The 12,012-nt window shown below is 37.0% G+C and overlaps 1 protein-coding gene across 10 annotated transcripts in view, besides 2 other annotated features; it reads left to right on the top strand.

Moving 5' to 3' along the window:
- COL25A1 (collagen type XXV alpha 1 chain) overlaps positions 1 to 12,012 on the top strand; it is a 493,934-nt gene that overhangs the window by 117,300 nt on the left and 364,622 nt on the right. The window lies entirely within an intron of this gene.
- Positions 10,812 to 11,106: a silencer, noted in NCBI's record as "tiled region #12117; HepG2 Repressive non-DNase unmatched - State 24:Quies". NCBI's record gives its function as "weakly represses a minimal TATA promoter and a strong SV40 promoter by Sharpr-MPRA in HepG2 cells {active_cell/tissue: HepG2}" and the evidence as "EXISTENCE:reporter gene assay evidence [ECO:0000049][PMID:27701403]".
- Positions 10,812 to 11,106: an enhancer, noted in NCBI's record as "tiled region #12117; K562 Activating DNase matched - State 5:Enh". NCBI's record gives its function as "activates a minimal TATA promoter and a strong SV40 promoter by Sharpr-MPRA in K562 cells {active_cell/tissue: K562}" and the evidence as "EXISTENCE:reporter gene assay evidence [ECO:0000049][PMID:27701403]".

Raw genomic sequence — 12,012 nt, 5'->3', positions numbered from 1 at the left:
TCAGCTATTGCATAGAGCACTGAACACAATGTTGTTTATAAGGATAAGTGCTCAATGTATGAAAATGATGATTATTATTATCCCAGAGATTAGGTGTATCCCAAGGACTCAATTTACCTAATCCAAGTAAAACTATCATAAACAAGTATTTCCTTATCCTTGACTGCCTTATGAATAATTTTAGGGGAAGTAAAGCTATGATTATGAAATACATAATTAGGGAAAAAGCAAAGCTAGCCATACTTTTTTTAAGCCTTCAAAAATGCCTTTCTTCAACCTTAACAATATTCTTGACTGCTCACAACACTTTCTTTTCTACACATCTTTGAATTTCAAAAAACAAACCAAGTTATGCTAGTGAAACTTTTCCACTGACTCATCTTGTTCTGGGGGCCCTGGAGGCCAGAATCAGGATCAAGAGATGGGATTCCCCAGGAGAAAGATTTAATCTCTACTAAAACAGGAGCTTTGTAATAGTTTGAGCTGTTGAATAAGGAATGAGTTTCCTCACAAGGTGGTGAGTTCCTCATCTCTGAATGGGAGCCACTTGGCAGGAATATTGTGGTAGCATTTCAAGCAATGGACAGGAAACTGCTATACGTGACCTCGGAGAGCTCTTCTGCCCTGAAATTATGTGATTCCAGAATGTCACTTTCAGGAAGTCTCTCCCTTTAGAAAAGGATGTCCAGATGGAAATTACCTCAGTGTCTGGCTTAGGACCTAGAAAATAGAACTCTGATTAACTTGTTCTGGCAGCCCTGGAACTTGAAGTTCTTTCAGACTGTGCCTTAAGTCCTAGGGCTACTGACCATCACTTTGGAGCTAAATATAGTCTAGAAAGTACCATTGTGTATCCGACACTAGGAGCCAGTGCAGCCGGCTTGCGTCTTACCTTGGTGTCTAACACTTCGTTAGGCCCTGGACATGATCCTTTTGTTAGATGCCAGCACAAGCATTTCATTACAGATTCAGGAAATGATGAAGAGATAAATGTTAGAAAGAATGTTTCCAAGGAAGATATTAATGGAGTGTTAATGCATCTTACTCTCTTCCCAGAGCAGAATCCTCTAGAGGGATTTTAGATTTATGGGAGTGAGAGTTCATCTATGCCAACAGAATCTTTACCTTCATTTAGCAACAAAGTAAATATGAATGTTAATTAAAGTGCCTGGTTTAGCACTTCCTTGTAAGCAAAATTCCTTGAAAACTGCTATCTGGAACAAAGCCATATCCTTGCTCAGTCATGGAAACCTAGAGCCAAGAAAACTAATGTATGCTTTCCTACCTCTGAAATGGAAGACAATAACAACATTGTATTCTCCAAGCTGAAAAATTTTGGACAACAGCATTTTTTTCATGAAGCAGGCCTCAAAGAGAGTTGTGAAAGGACCTTTGAAAGAGTTTCTGGAGCCCAATCTTTTTTTTTTTTTTTTTTGAAGTTGGTGTGTGTTTTAAAGGTATAAGTAATATGGGCTTCATAAATATTTTAAGTTTAAACATCAGTTTATTCTTTACCTTTCAACTTGGACACTGGAAATCATGATGCTATTATCAATATTTTAGCTATTATTAAAAGCCAGCCAGGGAAATGCACATACGGGCATACGTGTTGTGCCTCTCTCATAAAGTTTGCCTTTAGGTTTATCATTTATTTCTAATGATAAAGAATGCTTTATAGTTGGTAGCATTTTTTCACATTAATCATTTCTAATGTTTTCAAGATGCCCCAGAAATCTGAAATACCTCGTTATAGTTCTTGATCTATACAAAGATAAAATACTGCACTTGCTACATCTACAAATCAATTTAAAAATTACCTCCTAGATTTGAAATCACTTGGAGTATGGGAAGAAGAAAGAGAAAAGCACAGATAAGTCAGGCAAGCTTGTAAAATGAAATAAAAGTCTTTGCATTTTTCTCATGAATCACAAAAGTGCTTGTTGTTTGCTCCTGAGGGTTGAGGTGTGATAATCTATTAAATTGTTATGTGTTCATCATTTGGTATGGGTCCAAACTTTTTGTCTTCAGTTTTTCTCTTTTTTCATTGTCTTCTCTTTTTTCTCCTTTGTAGATTTTTGGCAGGTGGGTATGGGAGCAAAGCATCAGAGTCTTTGATATTATATCATCAGGATGCTGGTGGAGATGCTGGTTGGGTTAATTTAATTTAAAATTTCCTTTAATGTGTTTGTGGACATGGATGGGGTGGGAGGCTTCTCTCTCTGACACTATATTACTGAGGTTAATGTCATATATGGCTAATACATTATAGTTCTAAGGGTTGCATGTAACTAAAGTAACTAGGCTAATCCTAGTTTAAAATATTTCTGATGCCTCGGTAAAAAGATTGGAAGAATAATGAGCAGTGAAGTGGGAACAAAAAGGATTTTGATAAAGCAAAGCTGATTCTTTGTGTGTGTGTGTGCTATGACCTCTATTGTTCTCAGAAAAGCAGCTTGAAACTTGAAAGGTTAATAGGAAACCTTTTTTCCCCTTATATTGTAGCATCAAAAGTTCTCAGGCTGCAAGTGTAATTTATCCTAACACCTGCTGGGGTAGACACCAGGGCTCTATATCTGCCTCTAATTCTAATGGTCTTGTGATGTGACCTCAGTCACTTACGCATAAAGTGAGGGAATGTTAAATGTCTGTCATCGCAGTTTTGTTTAATAGGAAGATTATATAAATTTTATGTAGTGCTATCTAAATGAATTTTGTTTTCAGCTCTTACCTGGGCGTTCCTGGCTCTTTAGTACTCTGTTGGAACAGATGTGAGATGTCAAGAGTACCTATTCACCAGAAGATTGCTGAAACCTTTACCATGTTTACTAAATGTTATACTTTTAAACACTTACATATTTTTAAATGAAGGATATCTTATTCAAATACTATTATGTAGCTGATGGGATCAATATAATCATACTGTAGTTTACCCTTTGCCTTCCTTAGTAATGAATAGACTCTCTTGACATGCTTCCTGCTCTGTTCTTTACACAATTGAAAACAATAACAAACAGCCATGAAAATGGTACGGAGTTGGTGGCAATATAAATTTTGGCATTATGGAAAACAGCCATTGTGGAAAACAGTGTGGAGGTTCCTCAAAAAATTAAGTCAAACTACCACATAATTCAGCAATCCCACTGCTGAGTGTACACCAAAGGAAAGAAAATCACCACCTCATAAAGATATCTGCATTTCCATGTTCATCTCAGCATTACTTGCAATAGCCAAAATATGGAATCAACTTAAGTGTCTGTCAATGGATAACTGGATAGGGAAAATGTGGCCTATATACACAATGAGATTCTATTCAGCCTATAAAAAGGAGGAAATTCGGCATTTGTGGCAACATAAATGAACCTGGAAAACATTATGTTAAGTGAAATAATGCAGGCACAGAAAGACAAATACCTTGTGATCTCACTTACATGTCGAATCTGAAAAAGTTGAACTCATAGAAACAGAGAGTAGGATGGTGGTTATCAAGGGCTAGGGGCAGGAGGGGATTGGGGAGATGTTGGTCAAAGGGTATAAAATTTCAGCTGAAGGGAGGAAAAGTTCAAGGGATATATTATACAACATGGTGACTATAGTTAATAACAATGTATTACATACCTGAAAATTGCTGAGAGTAGATTTTAAGTGTTCTCATCAAAGCAAAATAAGTATGTGAGGTAATACATTTGTTAATTATTAGCTCAATTTAGCCATTCCATAGTATATTCACATTTCAAAACATCATTTGTACATCAAAACATTTGCATAATTTTTATCTGTCAATTTGAAAAATTTAAAAACTAATACGGTATATTGTTTGGAAATTTAGCTATTGTTCTTTACTTTCAAAAGATACACAGCAATATTTTTAAATATATATAACCATATAATCTGATATCTTTACATAGAAATTAAATCTGTGTTAATTAATTTCATCTGTATTTCATATGGGCATATGATGTTTTACTGAAATATTAAATTTAATTTCAGGGTAAAATCAAATAGTCGCCATTTAGAATAGTGAGTTCTATGGATGGAACTCTGGTCCATGAAGTCCCTGAAGTTGAATGTAAAAGATACGTGTAAGTGAATTTTCAGGGAGATGATCCATAGCTTTTTCAGATCCTCAAGGGAGTCTCCTCCACCCCACCCCAATCATATACATATAAAATTCTAGAACCAGAGGATTAACATAAAGTAGAACAGGCTATCAGAAACTTGGTGGGCTTGTGAAAAGCTTTAAAAATGTGTTTTTAGGAGTGCTGTAATTTAATGACACTGAAGCTCAGTGAGAAAGTGCTTCCTGATGGACAGAGCCCACTTTGCTCAATGCAGACCTCCACAAATGTCTTCATGCAAACTTGCATTGCATAGGTGATATTGGTGTCAGGAATTATGACATTATATATTTGATTCTACCTCTTCTTCAGAAAAAAGATATATCTCTAGAAATGTCACAAACATGAATCAAATCATGTTTTAATATTGTGTTTTATAAATACTAAATAATTAGCCAATGAATATTTAATCTTTTCATTGAAAATGTGAGTAACTTGCAAAAGCTGCTTTTATTTTCTAAAATTGCAGCCCTTTCTGACATTATTTCAATGGACTCTTCCTTCAAGCCTCAAAACTGTAGGTTTGAAGCTTATTTTATAAACTTAATGGAAATCTATAAACTTAATGGATATTATAAATCTTAATATAAATTTTTGGTTTTTAAAAAATATATTTGAATTCTGAAAGCCCTTATATAATCATCATCGTTATCACCACCATCATCATCTGTAACAGGTGCTATTCTAAGTATTTTTTATCCAGTAATTCATTTAATTATTACAGCAATCCTGTGCAATAGATACAACTTTTAGCCCCATTTTACAGACTAGAAAACAGAAGCAAAGAGAGGTTAGGTAGCTTGTCCAACTCTCTATAATAATATTTAAATGAGTAAATAAATAAATGAATAAACTTTACTATCCTTTAGAGTTTTAAAATAACTAGTTGTCAGAGATAGAGAAATAAAAACCTGAATTTTTATGCATTTAACTTGTTATCTGCACTTCAGAGTCAAAATTATTTCAGTAATCAGCTTTGTGTTTTGAGGCTACTTTGGCAGTGTTGCCAAAGGTCTTATGTTATGGTCATTTGTGTGTATTTACTAATTAACTTGACCTCTACAAGCAGTTTATTTACATTTTAATCTTCCTAAATTTCTTCTTCTCCAAATAAACTCTGAGAGCAAGATAATAAACACATGCATTAAAATGAAGGCTTCACTCTAACCAGACGTATTTCCATTTTAACATATTTATGCTTCTAACAACATTGATGTATACTAGAAGCAGAGTGTTAACATTTTACCCAAACCACATGGTGCTTACTGCACTGAGGCATCTATTTGACAAAAGCCCTAGAACACAATAATTAAAATATGCAAATCTCTTCATAATAGGCTGATTTTACAGTCTTTGCTCATGGAAAATCCCTATTGATTTCATATGTGAAGCATTTTGTCATTAAGTTTTAATTGTTGATTAAATAACAAGAAACATACACAGAACTCTCTAAACCTCTACTTAAAAATAAAGCAACATTTTGATGAACACTTCTAGTAAGTTTCCAAGTTTTCAAACTGTACAGAAGACCACATTAAGAAAAATACAGCTTCAAGAAGTTCAAGTTTGGTTTTGTGGAAGATCTGAAAAAAGACAGCTTTATAACACAGAAAGTAATCAATAAGACAGGTGTTTAAGTGTTTTGTGACTGGTTATTTCAAATAATAAGATTTTTAAAACAAATTGAGATAGATGATTGTATATTCACATGGGAATTACCTTTCTCTATCCTAACATACAAGGTTTCTAACAGGGGGTTTGGTTTCTGAAATCCAAAAAAATTGAATGAGGAGCAAGTGTTTAGGATCACGAATGCATATTAGAAGTCTCAGATGACCATGGTGTAACAGGATGGGATGGACATGCATAGTTGAACGGTACAGGGCTTTGAAATCAGCAGCTCTGGTGGGAGCTGCCCAAACAGCTGTTGTGTCAGGTGCAGTGGGGGGAGGTGAGGACAGTTAAGGCAGGTTGCAAGGAAGGCTGGGACTCAATAGTGGATGTGCTTCTCTTGCCAGCTTGGAGGCATCTCAGAGATGTTGATTTAATAGAGTGGAACACAGGTGGTGACCGTCACCTTGAAGCTCCTCCTGTCATTGCTGTGCCTCCAGACTAGGAAGTTGAGGATAAGATTTCCTGAATTCATGTCCCTGGTGGCAGATGAAACTTGGAAAAACATTTTAGGACAACTTTTTTTTTTTTCATTTTAAAAATGCTAGTCTAACATTTGCTTAAATGAATATATTCCTACTTGTTTGAGTGATTAATATTCTACAGTGCTATTGAGGCTTTATGTCACAAAGGCGCTTTTATATACACTATTCCATTTGGTTTGAGTCTCAAAATTCATGTGAAGCAGATTGGCTAGGTGATATGAAATCCATTTTTTTTTTTTTTTTTTTTTTTTTGGAGATGGAGTCTTGCTCTGTTGCCCAGGCTGGAGTGCAGTGGCGCAATCTCAGCTCACTGCAAGGTCTGCCTCCTGGGTTCACGCCATTCTCCTGCCTCAGCTTCCTGAGTAGCTGGGCCTACAGGCGCCCGCCACCACACCTGGCTAATTTTTTTGTTTTGTTTTGTATTTTTAGTAGAGACGGGGTTTCACCATGTTAGCCAGGATAGTCTCAATCTCCTGACTTCACGATCTGCCCGCCTCGGCCTCCGAAAGTGCTGGGATTACAGGCGTGAGCCACCGTGCCTGGCTGAAATCCATTTTTTAGATGAGAAAACTGAGGCTTACAGAGATCAGATAGTTTGTCCTCAGCCTCATTGTAGCTAACAAATTCAAGGTCAAATGTATACCTAAATTATTTGGCTCCACATTTAGTTCAAGTGCTCTTTCTGTACAAGGCTCCCACTGGATGGAAAAATCTGGCTATTATTATTTTTCTCTTAACTCTCCAATGTTCAGGTTAAAAGGACAATGTTTTAAAAAAGTATGGGCCCATACTTAATAAATCCTTACCCAACGTAGTTGAAAATGTTTTTAGCATTTTGATTCTTTAGGCGAAATGTATTTGGCAATTCCCTCTTTTAAGGAATGCTTCAGATGTTTGTTACACCTTATTTGAATGATTGGCATAAGGATGTATATAGGAGGGGCCATAAACTGCCAGAAAAGGAAAAAGAAACTTATTTAAACTTATTTAAGTAGATAACTGAATTAGGGCAAGAAATTAAAGTCAATTCCCCAGAAATGGTATCAGTTTGTACTTAAACCTATTATAATGGACGAAAATAGATATTCTACTCATGTTTAATTCTCTTATTCATTTAGAAGTATTGCATTTGAAACACTTTATCTTCACTGTCTTCCCTCACAAGATTAACATGTCTCTCTGCTCTTTTGCAATATTTATATGGTTAATTTTGCTAACAGGCAGTTTGCAGTCAACTGATGTTTGCTATAGAGGCACCCCTAAACGCAAATTTAACTGGAGCTATACTTACACAATGAATCACATTACCTGGCAATTTATGCTTTCGTTTTAAATTATTCAAAAATGTTTTTGTTGGGAGTCCTGGCACATCCTCATTAGCATGGAGCTGGTCAGCCAGGCTGCATCAATCATGCAGGGAGAATTTGTGTCCTGCCAGGCTTGTCACCTCCTGTTAACTCACAAGATAAACTTGGCCTGGAACTCATCTTGGCTGGGAAGAGTATAGGCTGTATTGATAGCAGATGGTGCCCACTGTATTTGGTCTAAAAGTTCAGCATCAAAATGAAGGAATAGGGTCTGGGGTGGGGGCTGGTTCAAGGAGGAGACCTGTCAGAATAAAAGTTTTGTAGCTCGCTTTTGTCCCTGGAGTAACGCAAGATATTCCATTTTAATGTTTGTTTTTGAGTAGAGCTTTTTACCAACATTCCCCAAATGCAGTGATGAGTGGGTGGTTCTTTATGCTGTTGTTTAGGTTTTGTTTACACTACGTTTTAACTCTCAGCTTACTCTTTGTCAGTCCCCCTCACTCTACAGACAATGAAATTGAGACTCTGAAAGGAGTGTGTCCAATGACGCAACTAGGCAACGACAGATGGGGCTTCTGATCTAGGCCAATACAGACTCTACCATGTTCCATCTTTTTTGTCTTCAGAGACAAGAATATTATTTTCCAATTTAGAAACTTGATTTTGTGTGTTTGCATATTCCTTCCTGCTATTCATTCCTAGACTAGGAAATCCCTCTCAGGTACCCCACCTATATTAGATTCCTAGGGCTTCTGTAACAAATTACCACAAACTCGGTGGCTTAACACAAATTAAATGTATCCTTTCACAATTCTGGAGGCCAGCAGTCTACAGTCAGGGTGTCAGCAGCACCATGTTCCTTCTGAACTCTAGGGGAGATCTGGCCTTGGGTTTTCCAGCTTCTTGTAGCTCCAGGTGATCCTTGGCCTTGTGGAGCTCCTGCCTCTGCCTCTCTCTTCACGTGGCCTTCTCCTCTATGTTCCTCCTCTTCTGTCTGTGTCTTTTCCTTTTATTTTAAAGAAACTTGTCTTTGAATTTGAGGCACCTGGTTAATCCAGAATGATCTCATCTTGAGATCTTTCACTTAATTACATCTGCAAAGATCCTTTTTTCAAATCAGGTCATGTTCACAGGTACTGGGGACTAGGGCTTGGACATATCTTTTTGGGGACCAGAGTTCTACCCAATATACCACCCTTAGGTTATCTTAACTCATTCAGCACTCTACTCTTTTTCTTGGAACTTTCTCGTTTTCACTTTTTCTTTTCACCCTAATCTGTATTTGCTGACCCTTTCTAGTTTTTGGGAGAATAATCAATTATCAGTGTTCTCCCTGGATCCTATCCTCCACTCTTTTAAGCCAAGTCTCATCTCTAGCTTTGTTTTTCTTTTGAGGCAGAGTCTCACTCTGTCACCAGGCTGGAGTGCAGTGGTGCGATCTTGGCTCACTGCAATCTCCACCTCCCAGGTTCAAGCGATTCCCCTGCCTCAGCCTCCTGAGTAGCTGGGACTACAAGTATGCACCACCATGCCTGGTTAATTTTTTGTATTTTAGTAGAGACAGGGTTTCACCATGTTGGCCAGGATGGTCTTGATCTCCTGACCTCGTGATCTGCCCACCTCAGCCTCCCAAAGTGCCCTCTCTAGCTTTTATGTGAGCTCCTTGAGGACAGGGATTGTATAGTTTATCTTTGTAGCATCAATGGGTGGCCCTGGTAGGTGTCTGATAAATGTGTGCTGAATAGATGAATGACGGTATGGCAATTAGAACTTTTTGAACATTTATGGTCTATTATACAATTCTCTAATGCAGTTGTATCAAACAACATTCTTCACTATAAGTTAAGGTTTAACTCTTACTGGAAAAGACATTTGCTAGGTCATAAAGTATAAGCTAAAAATAATTTTAAATGAACTAGAAAATACCAATACCATGGGCCTCATAAAGATGCAGGAAAAATCTTATTAGTTACAACTAGACATCTGTATGTCTTCATTAGACAGGACTTGACCTGTATTTTCAACTCTACTATGGCATTTTGTGTGGCTTAGATGTATCTATTGAATGGCTAAAAGTTCAATAGATATTGAAATATTTTATTCGCTGAACAATTAAAACTATTCCTAAAAATTAAATTTTTGGGAAAGATGGATAAATAAAATCTCATGTTTTATGAATATTTGAGTAAATTGACTTAATGTACCAGTAGAGAAACATTTAATCATGAAAACAGTGAGGGGGAAAAGTAACATGTTTTTAACACATAATCACAATTGTGTTTTATATGAAGAACTCTTATTGGAATGCTGTGTAGTTCCCCAATATTGTGGTTCAGTGGAACAAGATTCCTCAAAACCTATGCTAATGTACACTAGTTAAAGTTGGTTAATAATGATTACTTTGTGGAATATTCATTGAGTGGTATAGATTCACTCTCAGGGCCCCAGTGTTCAAATCAAAATATATTAACTGCATAAAAACGCAGGTTTGGGTTTGGCACAAACTATTTGCTTTGTAATGCTAGAAACTCGATGTCATTTTTTATGACCTTGGCCATGAGTAGAAGCCCCTAGAACCTTCCATATCCTTTTCTGGCAGTAGAGCTAAATACTCAACTGAAATGATGGTCTATAACAGAGGTCCCCAACCTTTTTGGCACCAGGGGCCAGTTTCATGGAAGACAACTTTTACACAGATGGGAGTGGGTGGGCAATGGTTTGGGCACAAAACTATTCCACCTCAGATCACCAGGCATTAGTTAGGTTCTTATAAGGAGTGCACAACCTAGATCCCTCACAAGCGCAGTTCACAATAGGGTTCATGTTCCTATGAGAATCTACTACCACTGCTGATCTGACAGAAGGCAGAGCTCAGGCGGTAATGCTCACTCACCTGCTGCTTGCTTCCTGCTGCGAGGCCCAGTTCCTAACAGGCCATGGACCAGTAGTAGTCTGCAGCCTTGGCTTTGAGGACCCCTAGTCTATAAGAACAAAAGGTGAGTGTTTAATTTTGCATTCAATAGTCAATAAAGTTGCTGTTTTAATTGCCTTCCTTTTACCCCACTGATGAAGGAGAGATTCCTGCCCTGGAGTTCTGGGGATGGTGGAACACACAATAACGCAACATGGGACAGGTGACATTGACAGCAGTTTCCTAGTCACTTATTCTCATGGCTGGGGGAGGAGGACTCCATATGCCCTGCAGTGCCACAGAGGGGTTGCACCCAGGAGCAATGTCAATGAGCAAAGGCTGTGAGAGGCAGGCTTCATAGTGTCAAGAGGGTGGAGTACTCCCTGGTTCCTGTGGGAGGATGTGATTGGCTTGCTTGAAACATTCTGTGGATTGGTGGGGAACTGAAACGTGCTACTCAGGAATAAGCAGGAGCTGTGTCTGGTCCCTGTGATAAAAAGGAATGTTTAGCTAGGGGACTTTATCTGTCAGGACAGAATGGGGAGGGGGAGCTTCAGTTTGGCCATTTGAGGCCCTCCTGATTTCACCACATGTCAAGGCAACATTTACAATAGGGCTTTATTTTAGGCCTTACACCACGGTTGCTACTTGTATTCACAGACTTTTAATGTTTTTAGGTATAAAACTGAATTCATTTCTCATAAATATCAGAGATTCTGAAGGTGATAAATTTTTACTTGTAGTCTATGGACAGAATTTAGAAAGCAGCCTTAAGGTTATGGTTTCCATGGGCTAGCACCTCTCTCAGTATTTAGCTTTTAATACTCATACAATTAAAAAATATAGACATATAGATTGAGCATCCCAAATCTAAAAATCCAAAATCTGAAGTGCTCTAAAATCCAAAATGTTTTGAGTGCTGCCATGATGATGCTCAAAGGAAATACTCATTGGAGTATTTCAGATTTTGGAGTTTTGAATCTGGGATGCTTAACCGGTAAGTATAATGCAAATATTCTCAAATCCAAAAGAAAAAAAAATACAAATCCTCACTGATGGTCTCAAGCATTTTGGATAAGATAATACTCAGCCTGTACTGAATATATAAGAATTATAGTTGACAATAATTATGTTTTTGAGTTTATGAATGACTTATTTTAAACTGAATATAATTATTGACATATAACAAATTGAGTTCTTATTCTGTGAGAATTTCTGTAATTAAATTTCTTTTACACTAGTATTATTGCCAGTTCAGATTTGCCATTTGGTGGCTCATAGAAAAAGCAATACTCATAGAGAAGCTCATAGAAAAGTAATCAATTTCATATTAAAAAAAGAGTATAACTTTGCATATTCTTATATACCATAAAATTTTATGCTTCTTTAATGCAATGCAATTTAATATACTCAAAATAAGATTTCCCATAATATATCAGTCAGGAATCTAACTGAAGGTCATTTAATTCATCAGGAAGTATCTTGGACATCAGAATTCCTTGACCTGTGATCCAAGCACTTTG

Source organism: Homo sapiens, chromosome 4 (genome assembly GCF_000001405.40).
Source record: "Homo sapiens chromosome 4, GRCh38.p14 Primary Assembly".
NCBI lineage: Eukaryota > Metazoa > Chordata > Mammalia > Primates > Hominidae > Homo > Homo sapiens.
The sequence above is the reverse complement of the archived record's forward strand: the minus strand, read 5'-3'. Positions and strand labels throughout refer to the sequence as shown.